Source organism: Homo sapiens, chromosome 15 (assembly GCF_000001405.40).
Source record: "Homo sapiens chromosome 15, GRCh38.p14 Primary Assembly".
Lineage (NCBI taxonomy): Eukaryota > Metazoa > Chordata > Mammalia > Primates > Hominidae > Homo > Homo sapiens.
The window spans coordinates 33,573,134-33,598,517 of record NC_000015.10 but is presented as its reverse complement, the minus strand read 5'-3'; the positions used below and the strand labels follow the sequence as shown (position 1 = coordinate 33,598,517).

Below are 25,384 nucleotides of genomic sequence, written 5' to 3'. Positions count from 1 at the left end.
ACAACCAGCTGGTATTAATTTCTGCTTACACTTAGAGTGCTCAGAAATCGTACAATTTGTGTGATCGTTGTTAGTTTAGCAGCATTTGTCCTAGCAGAAATACGGTAATAAGATTTAAAAAAAAACTTTTTTAAAGGAGCTCAATGGTTAAAAGTCAGCTTAGTTAAAAGGCTAACATCCAAGTGTGCGTGTTTGTATTTGAAAGGTCTTCATGTTTTTGGTTTTTTGTTTGTTTTTCTCTCCTAAGGCCTTGTCTTTTTTTTTTTTTTTTGAGCAATTTTTTTTTCTTCTCAGTTAACTGAATTCCATTTTCATCTGATTTTTTTTTTTTTGTAATTAAAATAGTTATTGCAGCAGAGGCTACTCTTGGGTTTTTAAGGAAGGTGTAGTTTAATTTTATGTTTAATTTGGCTCAAGAAAAATAACAGTGTCTCCCTCTAGCACCACCAGACTTTTTCTCTCTGTACTTTATGATGTAAATTTTGCTATTTGATTTTCACTTGAGTTGTTTCCCTTAATGTGCAAATTTAAGGCTATTTAGCTGACAATTGCCTAGGGTTGTGAAACAGGTTATCAAGAATCTGAAAGTCTAAGACAGAAAAAAAAAAAGTGGGGGAGGAGTCTTTATAAATCTATAAAATGTACTTCCATTGGCACGCCTCATAAGTTTTTATATGTATTTTTTTGTGTGTACAGAATGTTTTACTACTAACAATATATAAAAGAGCTCTAAATAATTGGCTTAAAAAATAAAAGCTCTTAAACTATATACTAAATAAGACTAAATAAATGCTTTTTAAAGTTCCTGTTTAGTCCTTATTTTAAAGTTCCTATTTAAAGACTAAATAAAATGCTTTTTAAAGTTCCTGTAACTTAAGTAAAATCTTTTTTTTTTTTTTGAGACAGAGTCTCACACTGTTGCACTGTCGCCCAGGCTGGAGTACAGTGGTGCAATCTTGGCTCACTGCAACCTCCGCCTCCCGGGTTCAAGCGGTTCTCCTGCCTCAGCCTCCTGAGTAGCTGGGAATACAGGCGCCCACAACCCAGCTAATTTTTTGTATTTTTAGTAGAGACAGGGTTTCACTATGTTGACCAGGCTGGTTTCGAACTCCTGACCTCGTAATCTGCCCACCTCAGCCTCCCAAGGTGCTGGGATTACAGGCGTGAGCTACTGCGCCTGGCCAGTGAAATCTTTAATAAATAAGCTAGCTTTAAAATTACTGGTAAACTACTATTATAAATGCCTTAAGTATTGCCCAGCATACATTTTTGTTTGCATTTATTCATCAAGCAATTTCATACTTATCCCTGCCAAAATACTGTAAGGTGTCAAAATTTGGCATAGGGGTTACAAAACTACAAGCCCAGCCCAAAACAGAATAATCTTTGCTTTTGTAATTTGTAATAAATAAGACATTGATAAGGGTTTAATGATAATAGTTGTATCTTGAATTTAGTAAGATTACCGTAACTTCTAATCCGGTGGCTTTAGGCAGTCTAGTCCACAGGCAATAAGGAGGTTTGTTTTGGGAAAGAACTGTTATTGTCTATTTCAAAGCTAAACTACAAACTATGTTCCTCTCAAAGTTAGTTCGGCCTATGCCCAGGAATGAACAAGGACAGCTTGCAGGTTAAGAGGGAGGGGTGGGGGAAGAGAAGGATAGGGACAGATTTGTTTAATGATACAAAATTACAGCTAGATGGGAGGAATAAGTTCTAGTGTTCTATAGCAAAGAGATTATGGTTTTTGCCATTGAAAGGAATGGCAAACTGCAATTACTTTTGCACCAATCTAATAGTTAACAATAATATATTATATGGTTTCAAATAGGAGGATATTGACTATTCCCCACACAAAGAAATGATAAATGTTTGAGATGGTGGACATGCTAATTACCCTGATCTGATTACCATGTATATTATATGTATCACAACATCACTATGTACCCCATGAACATGTACAAGTATTATTCATCCACTTAAAATAAATAAATAAAAAGAAGTCAGAAATCCCCCCCCCCCAAAAAAAGAACAATATTGAGTTGGTCAGATCAAATCTCTTTTCAGTGTCTCAGTTATAATTTTGCAACGGCAGTTTTATAACTTTAAATAATGACTGTCACAGTTTTCGTGAATAATCTAGGTAAACAAAACAATTAGGTAAATGTAATGGCACAAATATTTGTAGACAAACTGGTCATAATTTAGAATATAAAGCTATATTAAATCAAATAATAGATATTTCACTATTTGGGTATTTTCCAATAAATACATATTGTAGGAAAACATTATTGTTAAAGAAAAAAAAAGTGTGTCCTTAAAAAAAAGTGAACAAGTTTTGTCTAATTCAAAACTTAAAGGTTATGTATACAACAAGGTAAAAGGAACCAGGAATAAAAAAGACGTAAAGAAAGTTATAAAAATAAAGAGGCTTTTTTTTTTGAGGTGAAAAACTTAAAGAGAAATAATTTTATATAAGAAAGAATCTTGTATGGTAAATTTAGTCCTAAAATAAAATCACTGATTTTTTAAAAAGGAGGGATGTTCAGAATAAATCAGAAAGTCCAACCCTGTCATGAGCAGTCAGTGTAAGTCACAATAAGAGGATTTACACTTTAAAAAAAATTCACACAATCAAGTTGTCATATGAAGTTTTGGTTTGCTTAGGGAAAAAAACTGAGATAAATTTTTTTTTAAATTAAGGTTATTACATTATTACATCCATGTATCTTCCTGTATGTGCTTTTAAAGTTCTTGTAACATTGAGTTACAGGGCTCTAACTCCTGGGTCTAAAAAGGACACCAAGTCCTGCTAAATCTTAAACACTGATAGCAATTGAAGGCTCATCTTCAGGCCCGATAGAAGATGTCAATCAAAATAAACTGCATTCCTGAGACACAGGGCAAGAAATTAAAGCTATTCAACTCCTCAAGGCCCAGGGACTGTCTCCAAACAGGTGGGTGTGTAAGATTATAAGATTGTAAGGTGGGCCAATTTTGAAAGATAAAATAAGTGCAGTTCCTCTATAAACTAATTATTAATGTTAAAGGCAAACTGATGCAAAACCAGTATATGGACCCCTGTGTCAGATTAACAAGGTTTTCTTGAAGCATTAACCAACTTCTTAATAAAGATTATAAAGGTTACAAAAGGCTTACGGAAGTTATATTTTATAATCAAGATTAAATTTTATAAATTGTTTATAAAAGTTTGAAAGCAAACGTAATTGACTTCATGCTGTTTCTATTAGGGCTTCCTTGTTTAGAAAATTAAGTCTTCTCTCTCAAAGAATGAAGGTTTTCACTTTTTGAAATGCTTGAATTATCACTTAAATAAATGACTTTACAATGACCTGTAATCCTATTTTGTAGTATCAAGTGTTTTAAACCTTTTATATTTGACAAACTTTCCAAAATCAAATTATAAATTATGTCTTTTTCTAATCTAATCTTTTAAGACATTAGGTTCCCTAAAGTCCAAAAATGACATAATTTAGCTTATTTGGTATAAAAATTATACAGGAAGCATTGTCAAATATGAAATGGTATTTGGTTTCTTTGGGATATATTTGTATAAATGTGTTATTGGTGTGTATTCCAAAATTATGGAAAACTCCTGTAATTCTGATGTACCTTAGTGTACATTATCAGTAATAATCATAATTGTCATTTTAAAATTATTGCGTGCCACAGAGGTAACAAATTTCCTTGTCAATTGTTTCTTTTAACTATGGCTGCCTTAAAACTTTTTTTCATCCACAAAAAGCTGTCTTGTTTTATCTTGTTTGAAACTTTCTCTAAAAGGTGGGTTTATAATCAGCTGTAGGACTCTAACAGGTGCACTTAAATGCAGGTTTTCTGATAACTTTGGAAATTGTGACATTGGAATAAAGGAAAAAACTTTCAGAACTCTCATGCAGAGCTGAAATGTTCATGGCTATCAAACGTAACAGGAGTTAACTGAATTAACTGAAGCAACAAAAAACTGAAGTAATCTTTTTGACTTTTTGCTTCAAATGTTGCTGATACTTTGTTTTGTTTTACAGAGTTAAGAAAACCTTTAAGCTATTTACGGCTTTTAACAATTGAGTAAAGAACACTCCTGTGAACAAAATTTGGAGCATATTTGTTTCTCTCTACCTAACTTCTCCAGAATTTGGAAACTATTTGTGAGTAGTCTCAATTCATGGCAATAGAGTTATTTGCATAAGTACAATAAGAATCAGTTTTCTTTTGTAATAGGGCACAGTTGGATACACTGGTTATTTTACCAAGGCTTTGACTGGAATGGTGTGCTTTCCTTTAAGGAATCAAACTTGACTTATGGAGCCAATAAAGCCCTTGGAACAAATGGCCTCATATTTTGTGTACACAGTCCATGTATAGGGTTTCTGAGGTAAGTAAAGAATGTCACTTTCTGACACGTGCAGAAGCCCCAGGTTTATCTTGGACCCTCCAGAGGAGAGGAAATTCACCCAACTCATAGGTATTTGATGGTACAAATTCATGGCTGGGCTCAGCTTTAAGAAGTTGTATCTGAGATTCCTGCTATGGAACAAAGTTCCATCAAAGCCCATTTAAAAGCCTATGTAAAAACTAATTACCCTTGCTGCACTGTATACAAATAATTAGGCCAAGTATAATAAAGCAAACCAGTCCTACCATGATTTGTCTTCAGTGAAAATGGGAAACTGCAGAGAGAAAAATTATGTTTCAAGTAGACCTGTTGTTAGATTCTGGTCTGCCTAGTATCTTTTTCAATTTTTATTATTTTCTACAGTTTGGGACTGAATTCTAATTTTTCCTGATTAAAAGTCTTCGAAATAATGTTTTCAAATTTTTTCCCTTCTTTTTTCCATTTTTCCTAATTTGGAGTCACTGAAAACTAAGTTGTGCTTTCTTAAAACCCTGTGTACCGAAGCCAGACAACTTAAATAAACTTCAGAAGAAAATAACAGCAACCTGTTTACGTACATAAGCCACTTTCATACCTGCCTACTAATGTATGGACTTCAGAGTAATGTGGCCTATATGGATTTTTCCAGGATTGTTCTTTTGTTCATTGTTTTTTTCTCTCCCTTCCTCCCCACTGTTTTCTGTTCACAGGATATGGGACTTCACAACCTCCTAAAAATTAGCTTTTGGGACCTACCCATCTAGGAATAAACCCTTCTAGCTATGAGAGATCAGATGAAACTTGAGACCAGAGACTCTTCTCTTGTAAAATGCTTTCTCCAAAAGATTAAAAAAACAGAAAAGTGGGGAAATGTGAAAGGAAAATGTCTTTAGCCCTCACAATCACTGAGGAAAACTCAAGCTGGGAACTGCTTAGGGCAAACCTGCCTCCCATTCTAGTCAAAGTCACTCCTCTGCTCACTGAGATAGATGCATATCTGATTGCCTCCTTTGGAGATGCTAATCACAAACTCAGAAGAATGTAACCATTTGTGTATCACCTATCTGTGACCTGGAAGCTCCCTCTCAGCTTCCGGTCTTCCTGCCTTTGCTTCAAGTTGTCCCACCTTTCCAGACTGAACCATTGTACTTCTTACATATACTGATTGATGTCCCACGTCTCACGTCTCCCTAAATGTCTAAAACCAAGCTGTGCCCGGACCACCTTCAGCACATGTCGTCAGGACTTCCTGAGGCTCTGTCACGGGCACGTCCTCAACCTTGGCAAAATAAACTTTCCAAATTAACTAAGACCTGTCTCAGATTTTCTGGGTTCACAGGTTCTTTGAAAAGAAAAGGGAGTGCAGATAAGTCTAATCCACCATGGGGGGCATGCAGACATTGCAACTGTACTTTCTGACTGACAGGGGGTATCTTGGTGACCACTGGAATACCTGGCTGGAGAGGCAGGTATTGCTGAGTATTCACCAGACTCCATTTTCTTCTCCTTCTGAACATACAAAGGCTTTATTTCCCACCCTTCACTTGCAGGTATAGGGGACTAAATTCTGGCCAATCGGAAGTGGGTGGCCCCCAGGAGTGGGCCCCACCATCCTTACCTTCCTTCCACTGGATACAGATATCCAACAAGGGATTCCAAAGCCCAAAGATCTCCTTATTTCAAGTGTGATCCCCAGAAGTGCAGCACTGGTACCATCTAGTTCATCAGCAATAGTGCTACCATTCTAGAAATACAGATGCTTAGCCCCAAGTCCCACTCCGAAATTACTGAATCAGAGCCCTCATGTTAACATGATCCCCAGGAGACTTGTAAATACCTTATTGTCTGTGAGGCTCTGCCCTTAGGGGATGGTGAAGCCAATAACCACACTCTATCAAGCCCTCCCACTGGCCTTGGAGAGTCATATGAGAAAAAATAAATTTTGACTACGCTAAGCCACTGACAATACGGGGTTGTGTGTCACAGGAGTTAGGCCTCCCTAATCAATGGCCCATTTGTGGGGTTCATTTGTTTCTGGTTTTCATTCTCATCACTGATACCACATTTCATTAGAGAGCCTCTCATTTTGCTTTTTATCTCTATTACTGTCTATCCCAAACACAAGCTTATATGGGAATTATACTTTGAAGATAAATACCTACGGAAACACTGTTTGGCTGCTGCATTTTTGTCACAGCTTTCATCTGTAAAAGCAGTCTGATCAAACAAATGCTAACTATATTTTTTCTGAGATTTTTATGTCAAGTCCTATATTTGAGAAATGGCTGCTATTCAGCCCCTCCAGGCTAAACCTTTGATTCCTGATTTATACTTTCTGAGAATCAATGATATTACTATTTTATCATATATTTTTCTCAAAGGTAGACCCAAATCCTTGCAAAACAAAGAAGATAATAAAAAATATTTATCTATGGCAACTTTGAGCAGGTTTGGAGTAAGGCAGCTTCAGGGGCAAGTAGAAAATGCATACATTATTTATATTAGCAGAATCTTACTCTGGAAAAACTACAGTGACTGTTAGAATTTTCATCAGTTATTCTTTTTACCAAATAACACAATCAGTGCTACTAACATAGTGTGTTATTAGTTCAAGGTGAGACAGGAGTAGATTCTGGCTCACTCATTTGTTCCTTTTATTCATTTATTAAACCTTCAACAAACATGTATGAATGCTTGCCATGTACAACATCTTAGCTTGGCGCTATGAGGATTACAAAGACAGTCCCTACCACAGAGGAACTTACAGATGTAAGAGAAATAGATGTGAAAAAATAACTATAATAGAAGGCAGATTGGAACAATTATTACAGCAGAGAACAAATCATAAGAGAGGAGACCAATTCCAACTGGAATCAGAAAAAGATTCATGGAGGAAGTGGCGTTTGAACTAAGTTTTAAAGAGCAGACAAGAATTTTTCATTGATTTTTTAATTGACCAGAGAAGAATTTTGATGAGTCCTGGAAAAGTAGGAAGTGAGGAGCTATTGAAGGATCCACAAGAGTGAAATCATTGAGAGGTCAAAGGGTAAAGTGCATTCAGAAAATATGGAGTGGGCACTGCAACACACTCCTGTCTTTTTCACTCCAAAGACTGTGTTCTTCCCCTATAACTTTTTGACCTCAAATCTGATCATGCTTTTGATGAGTGGCAGTTATTTCCATGAAAGGGACAAAGCTAACAACTTAAATATTTTAGCAAAGAAGTAAAGGTATAATAATTGCTACCATTATATGTAGTCTCAATTCTAAGCATATGATTGGAAGTGGCAAGGTACAGGAAGAATTTTTACATCTCAAACCTATGAGATGTAAAATTATATTTAAAGGAAAAATGTCATATCCTGAAGGCTACCTTCATGAACCCATAGGAGCTCTCCAATTCCAGTCTGCGAAACACTAACTTATTATATGAAAATGCCTTCGAGGCAATCCCATTTACAATAGCTGCCAAAAAAAAAAACCCTATGAAAATATTTAACCAAGGAGGTGAAAGACCTCTAAAAAAAATTACGAAACACTGATGAAAGAAATTGCAGATGACACAAAATGGAAAAACATCCCATGCTCATGGATCAGAAGAAGAATGAATATCTTTGAAATGACCATACTGCCCAAAGAAATCTATAGATTCAATACAATCCCTATCAAAATACCAGTGTCATTCACAGAATTAGAAAAAACAATCCTAAAATTCATATGTAACCAAAAAAGAACCTGAGTAGCCCAGACAATCCTGAGCAAAAATAACAAAGCTGGAGGCACCACATTACCTTCAGGCCTCTGAGCCCAAGCTAAGCCAACGTATCCCCTGAGACCTGCACGTATATGTCCAGATGGCCTGAAGCAAGTGAAGAATCACAAAAGAAGTGAAAATGGCCGGTTCCTGCCTTAACCGATGACATTCCACCATTGTGATTTGTTCCTGCCCCACCTTAACTGAGAGATTAACCTTGTGAAATTCCTTCTCCTAGCTCAGAAGCTCCCCCACGGAGCACCTTGTGACCCCCGCCCCTGCCCACAAGAGAACAACCCCCTTTGACTGTAATTTTCCACTACCCACCCAAATCCTATAAAATGGCCCCACCCCTATCTCTCTTCACTGACTCTCTTTTCGAACTTAGCCCACCTGCACCCAGGTGAAATCAACAGCTTTGTTGCTCACACAAAGCCTGTTTGGTGGTCTCTTCACACGGACACACATGACACAATTACTTGACCTCAAATTATACTACAAGGCTATAGTAAGCAAAATAGCATGGTACTGGTATAAAAATAGACACATGGATCAATGGAACAGAATAGAGAACTTAGAAATAAAGCCACATAGCTATAGCCAACTGATTTCTGACAAAGTCAACAAGAACATACACCATGGAAAGGACACCCTTTTCAACAAACAGTGCTGGCAACTTTGGATTGCCATATGCAGAAGAATGAAAATGGGATCCCTCTCTTTCACTAAATACAAAAATCAACTCAAGATATAGTTAAAGACTTAAGTGTAAGACCTGAAACTATGAAAATCCTAGAAGTAAATCTAGGGAAAATTCTTCTGGACACTGGTCTAGGCAAAGAATTTATGACTAAGACGTCAGAAGCACAAGCAACAAAAACAAAAAATAGATAAATGGGACTTAATTAAATTAAAAAGCTCTGCAAAGCAAAATAAATAATCAATAGAGTGAACAGAAAACCTATAGAATAGGAGAAAATATCTGCCAACTATGCATCCAACAAAGGACTAATACCCAGAATTTACAGGGAACTCAAACAACTCAACAACAACACAAAACAAATAATCCCATTAAAAAGTGAGCAAAGGACATGGACATTTTTCAAACGAAGACACACGAATGGCCAACAAGCATATGAAAAAATGCTCAGCGTCACTAATCATCAGCGAAGTGCAAACTAAAACCACTATGAGATGTCATCTTAACACTAGTCAGGATGGCCATTATTGAAAAGATTAAAACATAATAAATGTCGGTGAGGATACAGAGAAAAGGGAATGCTTATACACGTTGGTAGGAATGTAAATTAGTACAACCCCTATGGATAACAGTATGGAGATTTCTCAAAGAACTAAAAATAGATCTACCATTTTTGATCCAGCAATCCCACTACTGGGTATCTACCCAAAGGAAAATAAATTGCTATATCAAAAAGATATCTGCATTTGTATGTTTATCACAGCCCTATTCACAATAGCAAAGACATGGAACGAACGTACATATCCATCAATGGAAGATTAGAAAATGTGGTTTATATACACACACACACACAATGGAATACTGTTCAGTCATAAAAAAAGAATGAAATCAGATTTTTGCAGCAACATAGATGGAACTGGAAGCTATAATTTTAAGTGAAATAATTCAAATACAGAATGTCAAATACTGCATATTCTCACTTATAAGTGGGAGCTAAATAATGTGGAGATGCGGACATAGAGAGTGGAGTGATAGGTGTTGGCAACTTGGAAGTGTGGGAGGGGGTAAATGATGAGAAATTGCTTAATGAGTACAATGTACATTATTTGGGTTGGGGTTACAATAAAAACCCAGACATCAGCACTACACAATATATCCAGGTAACAAAATTGCACTTGTACCCCTTATTTTTTTATAAATAAAAAAAGCAAAGGAAATGCTTTCTAGGGTGAATTTTTCACTGCAAAAGTTTTGTATTTAGATAATTATAAAACTAAAATCACAAAATTAAATATATTCTCACAGAGCATTTGGATTCTAAAGAACATGTTCACAGGCTGCAGCTTGAGAAACACTGGAAAGAATATTCAACTTCTGCTCCTAGTCTGTCATTAATTAGCTGTGTGGCTCCTGGGAAACTGCTTAACGTCTAAGGACCCAGGCTCCGGCCTTCTTTCTGCCACTGTCATGTACAAATAATAATGATGCTATGTCATAAGGTCGTAATGAGAACTGAATAAGATACACATGAACACTGACAGCAATAACTGGCATTTGTTAAGTGCAAAATAAATGCTGGTTATCATTACTGTTGTTGCTCTTGTGGGAAGACTTCTGAGGTCCCTTGTGGCTTTAAAATTCTGCATATTTTGAGTCATTGTCTTCACCGAAAACTAAGTGGATTAGTCAGAGACTCCTGAAATTCTAGGACTGGAGACAACAATGCAGCCTGGAGAGAAAAACATGACCTTGGCATTTTCCAAGCAAAGATGAAGTGTTGCAATGGAAGTCTGGCCTCCACTCAGCACATTCTTTGCAAAATGACCACAAATACATTAGTGATGGTTTGAACCTGTTTTTTCTCTTTGAAAATGAAAGCTATCCAATGGAATAGTACCTAAGGAAGGATCTGAATTCATGACAAACCTTTACCCAAAAATCTATCCAAAGATGGAAAAGGAACGTCTTTGAAAAGACTCTTATGTACCAAGATCACATTGCTTCAACTTTTACATTACCAGAATTTCTCTAACAATGTCTTGGTTCTAGAAGATTAAAGGCTACTCTGATAACATATCAGATCAGGCATTGATTTCTAGCAAAATACTTCAGCTTGGTGGGCCTCAGTTTTCTCAACTGTGGAATGGGTAGAATAGTAATCAACTTGCCACCAAGTGACATGCATCAAATGCTTTGTGGCTTTTGGCTGAAAGAAGCCACAACAAAGTTGGTTATTTATTAAGTACACTATGTGTTCTAATAATAAAGAAACCTCTGGGGCAATGAGACGAGAGCAGCTTTCCTGTCAAAAGGCTTCTCTGACATTTGCACATAGCCCGTGGCTCCTAGCACGTGTTGCTCAGGTGCCTATTGATTATTCTCATTACACTTCGCAGACAGGAAGGAACATGTTGGAACGCAGAGAATCTGGACTGAAGCGGAAGCTTCATGTTTGCCTTTGATTTGCTGCATTTGGAAAAGCGATTTCAGATCCCATGTATTTCTTTTTATTATTTGTCAAACAATTTCCCACATGCTAAGGACCATGGCTTTCTGCTGCCCACGGCTGATGCATGTCATACAGTCTATGCTGCCGAGTCTCAATCTCCCGGACACACTGAGCTGTCTCAAATACGCAGTCCCCCCAGATGATGACAAGCAGAGACTGCCAGTGACGAAGCCTGCTTCTCCCCACTCTGTAGAAGCACAGCTGCAGTCCCACATGTCCCATCATGCCATCTGCTCTGAAATACACCTCCTGAGCCGTTGAATATCGCGTCTGGCCACTAATTAGCACGATAGTCCCCGTGTGTGCAGATGTTGAAGGGTCAGGAAAAAAAACTCCCCATATTTTAGTAGACTTTCCCCACAGATCACTGTGTTTTAGAGATATAACTTCATAAAAATAGAGATGTTAGAACTATAAGAGATCTCAAAAAAATGATATAGCATTCCACTTAGTGAGATGCCCTTGTCACCATTTTACAGATGACATAACTGAGGCCCCAGCTCATATAGCTGCGTTGTATAAAAGGGAAGGACCAGTGGCTTCAGTTCTGCTTGCACACGCACAGATTCATTTACTTCATTTGGTTTCACTCATAGTAAATCTGATTTTGTTTAATAACAAACCATGTTGCTAAGACTTTCTACACTGTTTTAAATCTGATTTCTTCATACCTTTTCTATACAGCTTGTTATAAGCTGTTTCACTACGAAGTTCCTGGATCCTAGGGTGAAAGCCAGTCCCATACGGTTGGCCATGTGCAGACAGGGCCTACTGAGTGTCCCACAGTGAGCTGGTGTTAAGGGTTAATGATAATGAGCAGCGACTGGGGAGCTGTTGGAAACCCACGGCACCATCCGAAGTCCAGTGTGGCTGCCCAGCTTGGAGAGTGCTTGTATGCGGGGAAAGTCTTTTTTCCAGTTTCCCAAGATTTTTATCAAAGTCAAGAAAGACTAATCAACATGCTCTCAGTAAAACACAATGGTCATGAACATTGGGGAGGGAAACACCAGGCAAAGTCAATCACCGTTCTTTCCACACCTACCTTGTGATTCCGCCCGTGCTTATCCAACAGGGAGATGATCGACTTGATGTGGCCCTCCGCTATCAGATTTAAGGCTTCTGGGCTTTCAGTTAAGATGCAGTGCAAAACTTCCAAGATACCTACATGAATGCCACAAACATCAAATTTGGACATTAAATGCCCTGCAGAAGTGACCACAATTTAGAAACCTGAGTATGAACAGTCCTTCCTGAGGGGACAGGATATCGTCAATTCTTTGAATCTATCAAATCTTTCCAGCCAGAAAAAAAATGCATCATTTCCGGTAGACTTCAGAGCCCCCTGGGGGCCAACCAGTCTGTAATTTACTGGTGATTTTAATTCGGCACAAACCCTATCTCCCGCTTCCTGGACAAAGACATGATCTTTGTGTGTCAAAATACAGAGAAGCAGCTATAAAATAAAATTTTTCATTTGATCAAACCACATAATACTTCATTTAAAAATAGATACAAGAGAAGACGTCCAGTTTACTATAAATTCTAAAGGTCATTCAAGTAATTTGGAAAATATTCTGAGTTTCTCCCAAATAAGAATTTTTCTAGGAACTACCCTAGAAATTATTTTTATTTTAGGTCTACTCATGTATCAAACAAATTGTAAGCTCACACAATAAAGTCTATTTGGCTTTTCCCCCTTTTTTTTGGCACACTGGATAGGTTATATAAGTGAAGGCTTAAGAAAAACTAGTGCCTCTGCAGCCTGGCACATACACGGTAATATCATGATTGAAATTCAAGGGAAGTAGCTGGCTAATAGCTTAATTAGTTTTATTAGGAAAATTTCTTTTGATTCTGTTTTTTTCTCAATGTTTTCATAAGTTAGCCTGAAATGTAATCTAGCCCATGAGACCGAGGCACTGAAGAAAAAAGAGGCTTAGGAAGACGTGTGTAGGTGGATGATCCTTGGGGGAACCTCTCTTGGCCGGTCTGTTAAAGCACCTGTCATTTCTACACTGCGAGAAAAGCATCAAAACCCTTCAGCTTCCCCTTGAGGGGCGTATACCTGCCATGTTTACTCATCTCGGAGGAAGCAAACTGCTAAGCCCTGCAGCATGGTCACTTCCCAATGATGACCACACTCTTGGCTCAGATTCTCCGTAAGTCATGAGGGAGGACTATAGATATGATGTGAAGGGTGAGTCACGGGAGAGAGGGTGAGTGGGGATCATTTTTCCTCTCATCCCTGTCATTCTTCACTCCCGCTTTTAGACCGTAAGAAATAGTTTGGGCACCATTGAAAAGGGTTTAAAAACCCAGAGAATAAGAATATAATGGGAGTTAGAAGGAGACCAGGATCACTGGGTGGGTGAGGTGGGGGTGGGGGGTGATTAATGGACCCGAGGATTAAAAATGAAGGCACGGAATAACAATGAAGGCACAGAGTAAAAAATTTAAAAAGGAAGGATTGTTGAAGTCTGGGTTAGAGTTGTTAAATAAAGTCGTACAGGTGCCAGGAAGCTTGAAGACTATTTCTTTTTAATTTTGAAGTATGATTTGAGGATTGTTTGCAATCCATTGGAAAAGATTCAACTTTGTTTTCTTTTTTTACAGAAAGAAAAAAAAAACCCTTCATCTTTTCTAGTTATAGTTTCCTGTCAATTCTCACCTGAGGAAGATTCTAGTCTGTCCAATTTACTGATGAGCCAATCAAGGTTATTGGAGAATTGAGCGCAATTGTTTCTGTTTCCGCGAATGAGAGCAGCTGCAAACAAGGAGATGTTTGATCATAGAGGTTAAAGGATATAATGATGGGCGTGAGAACTTGGAAAGCTGTCGAATATTTCACTTGCTTAGCAACTAAAAGGAACTGAATGCCAATCTCACCCTATCTAGCCCTTTGACACAATTCTTTCTTTTTTTTTCTTTTTTTAAGTGACAGTCTCACCCAGTCACCCAGGCTGGAGTGTAGTGGCTCATTGCAGCCTCAAACTCCTGGGCTTAAGTGATCCTCTCGCCTCAGCCTCCAGAGTAGCTGAGACTACAGGCATGCACCACCATGCCCAGCTAATTTTTAAGTTTTTTTTGTTTGTTTGTTTGTTTTTTGAGATGGAGTTTTCACTCTTGTTGCCCAGGCTGGAGTACAGTGGTGCAATCTCGGCTCACTGCAACCTCCACCTCCTGGGTTCAAGTGATTCTCCTGCCTCAGCCTCCCAAGTAGCTGGGATTACAGGCATGCACCACCACACCCAGCTAATTTTTGTATTTTTAGTAGAGACAGGGCTTCACCATGTTGGCCAGGCTGGTCTCGAACTCCTGACCTCAAGTGATCCACCTGCCTCAGCCTCCCAAAGTGCTGGGATTACAGGAGCGAGCTACCATGCCTGGCGTAAATATTTTTTATTGAGATGGGGTCTCACTATGTTGCCCAAGCTGGTCTTGAACTCTTGGCGTCAATTGATCCTCCTCACCTCAGCCTCCCAAACTGGTGGGATTACAGGTGTGAACCACCACACCCAACCTCTTTCTATACTTAGAAAAATAAAAATCTAGTATTGACTCACTTTACAAGTATTTCCAGAGAGTCTGCTATGTACCAAACACCGGTCCAGTTGTTCAGACTAGAGCAATGAGAAAGGGAGGGAGATTCCCTGCCTTCATCAAGTAGGCAATGGAGACAATAAATGCATAAGGTAATGAAATTACTTCAGATAGTGATAAGCAAGAATTTAATATTGGCTTGGTTACTGACTTAAGAACTCAACTTCTTGCAATGTTTTCTTAAATTTAGCTACAGATTTATTAATCTTCAGCGCTAAAGGAAGGCATCCCAGTGAACACAGCTGGAAAGGTTGGCTATACACTAATGGATGAATAATAGCAACATGTAACTATAAAATATCTAAAATATATCCCTATTTGACAGTGGTTCTTGAGTCATGGTCCCTGGATCAGCATCACCTAAGAATTTGTTAAAAACTCAAATTCTCAGGCCTCATCCAGCTTTACTGATTTAGAAACTCTGGGGGTGGGCCTCGGCATCTGTATTGTAACCAGCTCTCCAGCTGATCCTGATGTCTGTTCCTACTTGAAAGCCACTGGCAGATGATACTGCAGAGAGAGGGAGAAAATATGCTGTCATTTGAGTTTTACCAATCTACACCAAATAACCTTCTCTCCACAGGGCAAAAAGAGTAGACGCAAATCTGGAACAAGTCCATGTAAATTGATTCGCCCCCAAGTAGCTTGCCCTTCACATGATAGGTTTGAATTGGAATTTCACTGAGGCTGATACATGGCAAATTTAGGATAAAGAAAGGCCTCCTCTAGGGCCTCAGCTTTGCATCTTCAGTCAGTAAAGGACACAATTCAAGTCTGAGCTCCTAACCTCCTTTTCAGATCAGTTGCAGCAAGGAAGTTAAGCATAAGAGTCCTGGAGTTAGACTGCTGGGTCTCAAGCCATAGCTCCATCAGTTACTAGATGTGTAACCTTGGGTTATGAGCATCTATGTACGTCAGTTTCATCATCAGTGAAATGACAGTAATAATAATAACTGACCCTTAAAGTGTTGCTCTGGAGTTCAAAAGCGATATTTCACCGCTCACAAAGAGATCAATAATTGTTAGGTATTATTGTTAAAATCATGCCTACTGGGTCAATACAAAACACTAGAGTTTGAAGACACTTTACAGGGTCATACAGTGGCAATTGATCAGTACTGTGGTAATCCAATCAGCCTCAACCCTAAGCTGGGGAATAGGTCCGGACTGATTTCTCTGGGCTCCATTCTGGCCTAGTGAACTTTCTATGATAGATTTCCTCTCAGTGGGACACACACTTCAGAGCAAAGCCCTAAAGTACTAGCTTATCACAGTGTCTGAGCAACTCCTGGTGGCCGCCTTCTTGCACAGGCTCATACTGTCTTCTCTCTGCCTCCCACCCATAGGCGGGTGGCCTAGGCCTATTGGATGGAACCTGTTGTAGCAGGCATCAGAACTTCACTACACACTCCATATTGTGAGAAGATAAGCTTGTTGCTGGAATATTCTTACTTCCCACCTTTTTCTTTTCACCAAAATGAAATAAATTACAGGCCAAAGCAGTGAGAATCATGACTAACAAGTGGACAAGTGAGAGGGCACAGATTTAAAAGAATAACAATTCTTAAAGTACAGGTGATATCTTTGCAGAAGTTTAAAACTGGAAGACATCATAAATGTGTTCTAGTCTCGTTTCCTCATGAAAGGTAAGGAATAGAGGTTGAGGGAGTGTAGGTGTCTGTCAAACAGTTTCCCAGGTAGTTACAGGGAAACTGATTATCATCTGCTTCCACTGGCTGCTACTAGTTAACAGAATGAACAGCTGGGTTAAAATTGAATGGTTAACAAAAGACTTCTAAGGAATGAGGCAGTCCAAGTATCACAGGGTTAATGGCAAGTTAAAGACAATCTTGGGATTGCACGTGGAAATCCCATGGAAATCATCCCAGGGAGAAGGCACTGTATGTGTACTTACCCAGCAATTTGTAGAGGAGGTTCAGAATTTCTTTCCAGGCCATGCCACTCTCTTCCCTTGCAATCCCTGCAAAGTGTGCTACGCTATTGTAGACATTTAAGCGGTCAATGCAATTTAAGACAAGGGCCAACATTCCCTGAGAAGGAGAGTGGAGGAAAATGTAAACATTGCTGATTAAGAAAGCACAGTCCCTTATGCTCTTTCCCCTCCTGTATCATTCACCTTTTAAAGCTGAAAATGCCAATATGCAAATAGACCTTCATGGTGCCAGTTGGGTTTGTTTTTTTTCCCTCCTAAAAACAAAATATGTATTTTTATGCCTGAGAGACCTAAATAGCATCCATTTGGAGAGTGAGTCAGCAGCCTCCTCTGACGGGTTGCCCCCACGTGCTTAACTCAATCCAAGGACATACTTAGGAAGAGGGAGGGTGAATGAGTTTCACAAAAACCTGCTTTCAGTCTGGTGTGAAGTGGTTCTGACTCACCCAGAAACAGCTCTGGATATAGTACCTATTTTTCTCTTAAATATCAAGTAAGTTCAAGTTCCATTCAGATGCACAAAACAGCCATGCTTGCTTCCTACCTCCCCACCCCCCCGGCCCCCTGCAAAAAAAGGGGATTTAGAGACAATAGCAGTACAAGAGGATCTTCAACCACTTTTCTAGCTAATTTGAAATACTATGCCACCCAGTAAAAATCTGTGCTAGCTGTTCTTAGCGCATGGGAGGGAGATGGTAAATGGAATTTCAGTAGCCTTTAAGTCATAGAGAATGCCCCTGAGGCCAAAGTCTGGTTAGATCAGAAGACTGAGCTGGGATGGTTTACATCCCACACCACTAACTTTGGAAATGCCCAAGGGACAAGCCCTGTGCCCAGGCATGGCAGGCCCAGAAGTACAACCATGGCCTGTTGGCACTAAATCATCACATCTCCGAGTCTGGAAAAGGCTTGTGGCTTGTCTGTGGTCACACACAGCTGGAGATGGAACCAGAATGAGGTCCTGGGTGTCTTAAGCCCCAAGCTGATATTTTCCTCATGGTCAGGCCCCACTCCCAGTGACTCAGATGCTCAATTCTGACATAAGACAGCGTCTTCTGTGTCTTTTAAACCAGCTTCTCAGGTATTCTCAATGTGGTAGAATCCAGGCATCTGCATTTTTCAAACAGGTTTCCCAGGTAATTCTAACGTTTCCCAAAACTTGGGAATCACAGCCAATGTCATGCTCTCACAGCTGAAATTTACTGAAAATGTATATTTGATACACATGTGGCACTGAAGCTTTAAAATGTAATCTGGTTTGAACGTGCCAGCCATTGCTAATGTAACCAGGTTTGGTGGACAGGGAAGGTTGGCTTCCAATTTCCCAGCTTCCAAATCTCTCTTGTCCTCTGGCTCTCTCATAAACACGTGCATGCAGAAAGACAAAGCTAAGTTGTAGTCACAGGGATATTCTAGCTCTGGACACTAAGTGAATTTCAACTTTTCATTTTTCGACTTACCTCTTCCTTGAAAAGATTTTGTCTGTTTTTGAGTGAGCGGAGCTTGTTCTGCTTGTCTTCATGTCGCATCTCCTCCTCTGGGGGCTGGAAGTAGGCGATCAAGTCCTGTAGGGTCTGCAGGACTTCTTCTATAGGCAGGGTGATGGGGGCAGCTGTGCGATTGTTTCCGCTAAAAACCATGAGATTGACATGGTTTAGGCACTGGCCAGCAGCAGGGCCCTGATGAACACCCACTGGGTCCCACTCCTAACAGCCCCCCACGGTGCACCATGAGTTGCTTCCTTGGGCGGCCACTGTACCAGCAGCTACAAAATGAAGTTTCCCAGATATCAGAGCAACAGAAGGAAATATTCACATTCAAGTTTAAAGCTATTTTCATAAACAAAGGGAAGTGACTCCTTTTAGCACATTTATTTTCAAGCAACTTATAACTCATCCTGTTAATATTACTGTAATATTTCAGCACATAGCGTCAATGGGTATTCACTGAATGTCTAACCATGATTTCCCTGTAATCTAAAGAGGTAATTTCAACTGTGATTTTGACAGTGACTCTTCTATCTATAGCAGATGCTTCCCCTTCCATTTACCCCTGGTTGTCTGTCACACATTTTTTTTTAAAATAAAAACATTTAGAAAAAATAAACTTCTTAACCCATGATTCTTTTAAACAATCACACCTTCTTGGCATTGATTAATCCTAAGGTGGAAGGATTTCTATCACTGGGTCTTTGCCTCTATCTCCATGTTAATTTTGTCTCTCCTCTTGCACCCCCCTCCACGTCTCTATGTGTCTTCTGAGATCTCTGCATGTGTTTTTCTCATCACGTTTCTCTGTGTACATGCCTGCTTTCCTTCACTCCATTTGTTGATGGTTCCTTTACTTTCTGTATCTGTGGTCCTTTCATCTGACTTTCCTCACCCTGTGTTCCCTCTCTGAATATCACCCTCCTTTCTCAGTGTCCCCTATCTCTCAAACATCCTTCTTCTCTGCCTTGAGGTCTGTCCCTCTTTGTTTCTTGGTGTTCCCCAACCCCATGTTACCTGCCCTTCCATCTCTCTCTCCCTGTTGTGTTCCTCCTATTCCGCAAGTTTCTCTGTCTCTTTTTCTGTTTTAATCTCTGCCAATTTTTTGTAATTAAACCCCTTCAACACAGAGAGAATACAAAGCACCACAGATAACAAAATGACCCTTCATTTCCCCATCTCCTTGAGGAGTACACCTGGGAGCCTCTCAGAGGGCAAAGGCTATGAAGAGGAAGGGGAAATGGACCTATCTCTTGTGGGTTTGCATCATAAGGCCCTGAGTGATTGAGAATTGGCTCAATGTGCAAGTAACATCACGAGGAGTTTTTTTTTGTTGTTGTTTTTTTTTTTTTATTCTAAGTTCTGGGATACATGTGCAGGATGTGCAGGTTTGTTACACAGACGTGTGCCACGGTGGTTTGCTGCACCTAACAACCCCTGACCTAAGTATTAGGCCCGGCATGCATTAGCTATTTTTCCTGATGCTCTGCCTCCTCCTACCCCCCACCCCTCGACAGGCCATAGTGTGTGTTGTTCCCCTCCCTGTGTCCATGTGTTCTCATTGTTCAGGTCCCACTTATAACTGAGAACATGTGGTGCTTTGTTTTCTGTTCCCGAATTAGTTTGCTGAGGATAATCGCTTCCAGCTCCATCCATGTCCCTGCTAAGGACATGATCTCATTCCTTTTTATGGGTGCATAGTATTCCATGGTGTATATGTTCCACATTTTCTTGATCCAGTCTATCACTGATGGGCATTTGGGTTGATTCTACGTCTTTGCTATTGTGCCTAGAGCTTCAGCGAACATATGTGTACCTGTATCTTTATAACAGAATGATTTATATTCCTTTGGGTATATACCTAGTAATGGGATTGCTGGGTCAAATGGTATTTCTGGCTCTAGGTATTTGAGGAATTGCTACACTGTATTCCATAATGGTTGAACTAATTTACATTCCTACCGATAGTTTAAAAGCATTCCTATTTCTCCACAGCCTCGCCAGCATCTGTTGTTTGACTTTTTAATACTTGCCACTCTGATTAGCATGAGATGGTATGTCATTGTGGTTTTGACTTGCATTTCTCTAGTGATCAGTGATGTTGAGCTTTTCTTCCTATGTTTGTTGGCCACATAAATGTCTTCTTTTGAGAACTGTCTGTTTATATCCTTTGCTCACTTTTTAATGAGTTTTTCTTTTCTTGTAAATTTAAGTTCCTTGTAGATTCTGGATATTAGACTTTTGTCAGATGGAGAGATTGCAAAAATTTTCTCCCATTCTGTAGGTTGTCTGTTCACTCTGATGATAGTTTCTTTGGCTGTGCAGAAGCTCTTTAGTTTAATTGGATCCCATTTGTCAATTTTTGCATTTGTTGCATTTGCTTTTGACATTTTTATAATGATATCTTTGCTTATGCCTATGTCCTGAATGGTATTGCCTACATTTTCTTCTAGGGTTTTTATAGTTTTGGGTCTTACATTGAAGTCTTTAATCCATCTTGAGTTAATTTTTGTATAAGGTGTAAGGAAGGGGTCCAGTTTCAATTTTCTGCACATGGCTCGCCAGTTCTCCCAGCATCATTTATTAAATAGGGAATCACTTCCCCATTGCTTGTTTTTGTCAGGTTTGTCAAAGATCAGATGGTTGTAGATGTGCGGTCTTATTTCTGAGTTCTCTATTCTCTTCTATTGGTCTATGTGTTTGTTTTTGTATCAGTATCATGCTGTTTTGGTTACTGTAGCCTTATAACATAGTTTGAAGTTGGGTAGTGTGATGCCTCTGTCTTTATTCTTTTTGCTCAGGATTGTCTTGGTTATATGGGTTCTTTTCTGGTTCCACATGAATTTTAAAGTAGTTTTTTCTAATTCTGTGAAGAATGTCAATGGTAGTTTAATGGGAATAGCATTGAATCTATTAACTACTTTGGGCAGTATGGCCATTTTCATGATATTGATTCTTCCTATCCATGAGCATGGAGTGTTTTCCATTTGTTTCGGTCATCTCTAATTTCTTTGACGAGTGTTTTTTAAGTTCTCCTTGAAGAAGTCCTTCACTTCCCTTGTTAGCTGTATTCCTAGGTATTTTATTCTCTTTGTAGCAAGTATTAATGGGAATTCATTCATGATTTGGCTCTCCACTTGTTCGCTGTTGGTGTTTAGGAATGCTTGTGATTTTTGCACATTGATTTTGTATCCTGAGACTTTGCTGAAGTTGCTTATCAGCTTAAGAAGCTTTTGGATTGAGATGATGGGGTTTTCTAGATACAGGATCATGTCATCTGCAAACAGAGACAGTTTGACTTCCTCTCTTCCTGTGTGAATACCCTTTATTTCTTTCTCTTGCCTGATTGACCTGGCCTGAACTTCCAACACTACGTTAAACAGGAGCTGTGAGAAAGGACATCCTTGTCTTGTGCTGGTTTTCAAGGGGGAATGCTTCCAGCTTTTGCTCATTCAGTATGATATTGACTGTGGGTTTGTCATAAATGGCTTTTATTATTTTGAGGTATATCCCATCAATACCTAGTTTATTGAGTTTTAACTGTGAAGAAATGTTGAATTTTATCAAAGACCTTTTCTATGTCTATGAAGATAATCATGTGATTTTTGTCTTTAGTTCTGTTTATGTGAAGAATTGTGTTTATTGATTTGCATATGTTGAACCAGCCTTGCATCCCAGGGATGAAGCCAACTTGATCATGCTAGATAAGCTTTTTGATGTGCTGCTGGATTTGGTTTGCCAATATTTTATAGAGATTTTCACATTGATGTTCATCAGGGTTATTGGCCTGAAGTTTTCTCTTTTTGTTCATCTCTGCCAGGTTTTGGTATCAGGATGATTCTGGCCTCATGAAATGAGTTCGGGAGGAGTCTCTCCTTTTCAATTGTTTGAAACAGTTTCAGAAGAAATGGTACCAGCTCCTCTTCGTACCTGGTAGAATTCTGGTAGAATTCAGCTGTTAAGTCCATCCTGTCCTGGGCTTTTCTGGTTGGTAGGCTATTTATTACTGCCTCAATTTCAGAACTCATCATTGGTCTATTCAGGAATTCAATTTCTTCCTGGTTCAGTCTTGGGAGGGTGTATATGTCCAGGAATTTATCCATTCTTTCTCAATTTTCTAGTTTATTTGCATAGAGGTGTTTATCATATTCTCTGATGGTTGTTTGAATTTCTGTGGGGTCAATGCTAATATCCCCTTTATCATTTTTTATTGTGTCTATTTGATTCTTCTCTTTTTCTTCATTAGTCTAGCTAGCAGTCTATTTTATTAATTTTTTTTTTTTAAAACCAGCTCCTGTATTTGTTGATGCTCTGAAGGGCTTTCTGTGTCTCTATCTCCTTTAGTTCTGCCCTGATCTTGGTTATTTCTTGTCTTTTGCTAGCTTTTGGGTTTGTTTGCTCTTGGTTCTCCAGTTCTTTTAGTTGTGATGTTAGGATGTCAATTTGAGATCTTTCTAGCTTTTTGAGGTGGGCATTTAGTGCTATAAACTTCCCTCTTAATACTACTTTAGCTGCATCCCAGAGATTCTGGTACATTGTCTCTTTGTTCTTACTGGTTTCAAAGAACTTCTTGATTTCTGCCTTAATTTCATTATTTACCCAGGAGTCATTCAGGAGCAGGTTGTTCACTTCCCATGTAGTTGTGTGATTTTGAGCGAGTTTCTTGAGTTCTAATTTGATTTTGCTGTGGTCTGAGACTGTTATGATTTCATTTCTTTTGCATTTGCTGAGAAGTGTTTTACTTGCAATTATGTGACTGATTTTAGAGTAAGTGTCATGTGGCACTGAGAAGAATGTATATTCTGTTGTTTTTGCGTGGAGAGTTATGTAGACATTTATCAGGTCCACTTGATCCAGAACTGATACTGAGGTCCTGAATATCTTTGTTAATTTTCTGTCTCAATGATCTAATATTGACAGTGGGGAGTTAAAGTCTCCCACTATTATTGTGTGGGAGTCTAAGTCTCTTTGCAGGTCTCTAAGAACTTGTTTTATAGATCTGGGTGCCCCTGTATTAGGTACACATATATTTAGGATAGTTAGCTCTTCTTGTTGAATTGAACTCTTTATTATTATGTAATGCCCTTCTTTGTCTTTTTTGATCTTAGTTTGTTTAAAGTCTGTCTTGTCAGAAACTAAGATTATAACCCCTGCTTTTTTCCACTTTGCATTTGCTTGGTAAATTTTCCTCGGGCCTTTATTTCAAGCTTATGCATGTCTTTGCATGTGAGATGGGTCTCTTGAATACGGCACATGAATGGGTCTTGACTACTGACCCAGCTTGCCATTCTGTGTCTTTTAATTGGAGCATTTAGCACGGCTTCTTCTTGATGGCCAATTTCTAATGAGCTCTCCTAGGCATTTACAGTATATTTGCTTATTCACCAACTGCTAAATATTAATCTGCATACATGCTAAGGGAAGATTTTCATCGGGGCCCAAAGACTCAAAAAGTTCTGAAAGCAATCAGGCTGTGAGGTGATCATTCCAATTTTGTATTAAAAATGCCAAGTGCATGCAATGGGGAAGGAATAATGGGGGACTGTAAGCTTCTTATAGGCAGGGAGGCACATCAGTGTGTATTCAACTCCTAGCAGTGCCTGGCACATTGTAAGTTCTCAGTTAGTGTTTGCAAATGACTACCTGGGCTATTATTAGACACAAAAATAGTGGGGAAGAGAATGCCATGAGTACATGAGATGAAGGCTCGGCAGTATGAAACTCAATTTGATAGAACTTCCCACTTCTGAATTCAGTGAAGGAATGAATACATTTTCCTCAATATTTTGGTCCAGTTCCAGGGCTTACGTTTTGCTTTTTGTTTTAAAAACACTTTCATTTTACTAGAAACACCGAGGGTGGTCAAGAATAATTCTTTACATGATAGGAAAAGATGACAGCAAGAGGTTTATAGACATTTTTGTAGCTCGCTGAGGCAGCAAATGCACCACACAGGGAGTTGGAAATCTCAGGTCTCAGCCTTGCCACTGCCATTATCAGTGTGATATTTGGGTTGCCACTAAGCCTCTTATGCTTCCATATAGCACCTGGAAAATAGGAAAGGTGCACTCTTTGATTGCCAGGGTACTTCAGGTCTAATTTTCTGTCTGTTGGGTTCTCACTGCTGGACTACTTCATCTTGCCCCTTGAAGAAACATGAATATTATAGTCCTCCACTAGACTAAGGCAGATTCATTCTGTCCTCAAAAAATAAGACATATCACATGCTTGGCATGGGGAACAATGGTGAAAACAGACATTACTTCTGGAAAGCATCATGGCATTCATATTCTACCCTAGAAGAACCTCAGAGAGTAAAGCCCAATGTATAGAGATAAGTCAGAGCCTCAACTCAGAAACAACTACAATTATCACCTATCCCTTCCCACCTTCTTCAACTCCCTATAGCCTGTCCCACTATATTCTTAGGCCTTTGCCAATGAATTCTTTTATTAAATTCAAGTGAGGTCCCAGGTGATTCTGAATATTTATCATAACATAATGATTTATTTGTTGTCTCTCTTCTAAGGTTAAACTTAGAGGACAGCTGACAGTATCTTTTCCTCAGCAGAGTTTTTCAGACTCCTTAATCGATCACACTGTTCATTCTACTGGACAGTTCCCAGCAACTCTACAGAGGATGATGAGATAGCATGATGAAATTTTAACCTCTTCGTCTTCATTTTTCTTTCTTGTTCCTTCCCTATTCCCTTAGCCTTAATGTGCTCCCAGAAGGCCACCCCTCCTCCTGGTTTCCGTGTGCACACAGCATACAAAGTTGGTTTCTCAAAAGAGATGGGAAAGAAGAATCTACTTCAAAATGTTTTTTTCTCCTTCACTTCCTAGCTATCACAAAATCCAAACACTGTAACTTTTGCAGCCCACACCCCCTCAGCATTGATATTTTTTCATTAGTCCTTTTTTTCTAAAATATCCTGTGCCTGGAAGAATCAAGAATTTCCCTCTTGAGGGTGGGACTTAACA

General features: G+C 39.0%; 1 protein-coding gene across 20 annotated transcripts in view; it reads right to left on the bottom strand.

Moving 5' to 3' along the window:
- Positions 1 to 25,384, bottom strand: part of RYR3 (ryanodine receptor 3) — a 555,136-nt gene that overhangs the window by 267,585 nt on the left and 262,167 nt on the right. For all 20 annotated transcript variants that reach the window (XR_001751370.2, XR_001751371.3, NM_001036.6 and 17 more), the window contains 4 exons: positions 18,374 to 18,542; positions 16,875 to 17,010; positions 14,028 to 14,123; positions 12,402 to 12,520 (listed from right to left, as the gene is read on the bottom strand). Coding sequence is in view for 18 of the 20 variants with exons in the window: in NM_001036.6 (NP_001027.3) it covers positions 12,402 to 12,520; positions 14,028 to 14,123; positions 16,875 to 17,010; positions 18,374 to 18,542 (520 nt within the window). In the remaining 2 variants the exon portion in view is untranslated. The remainder of the gene's footprint in view (positions 1 to 12,401; positions 12,521 to 14,027; positions 14,124 to 16,874; positions 17,011 to 18,373; positions 18,543 to 25,384) is intronic.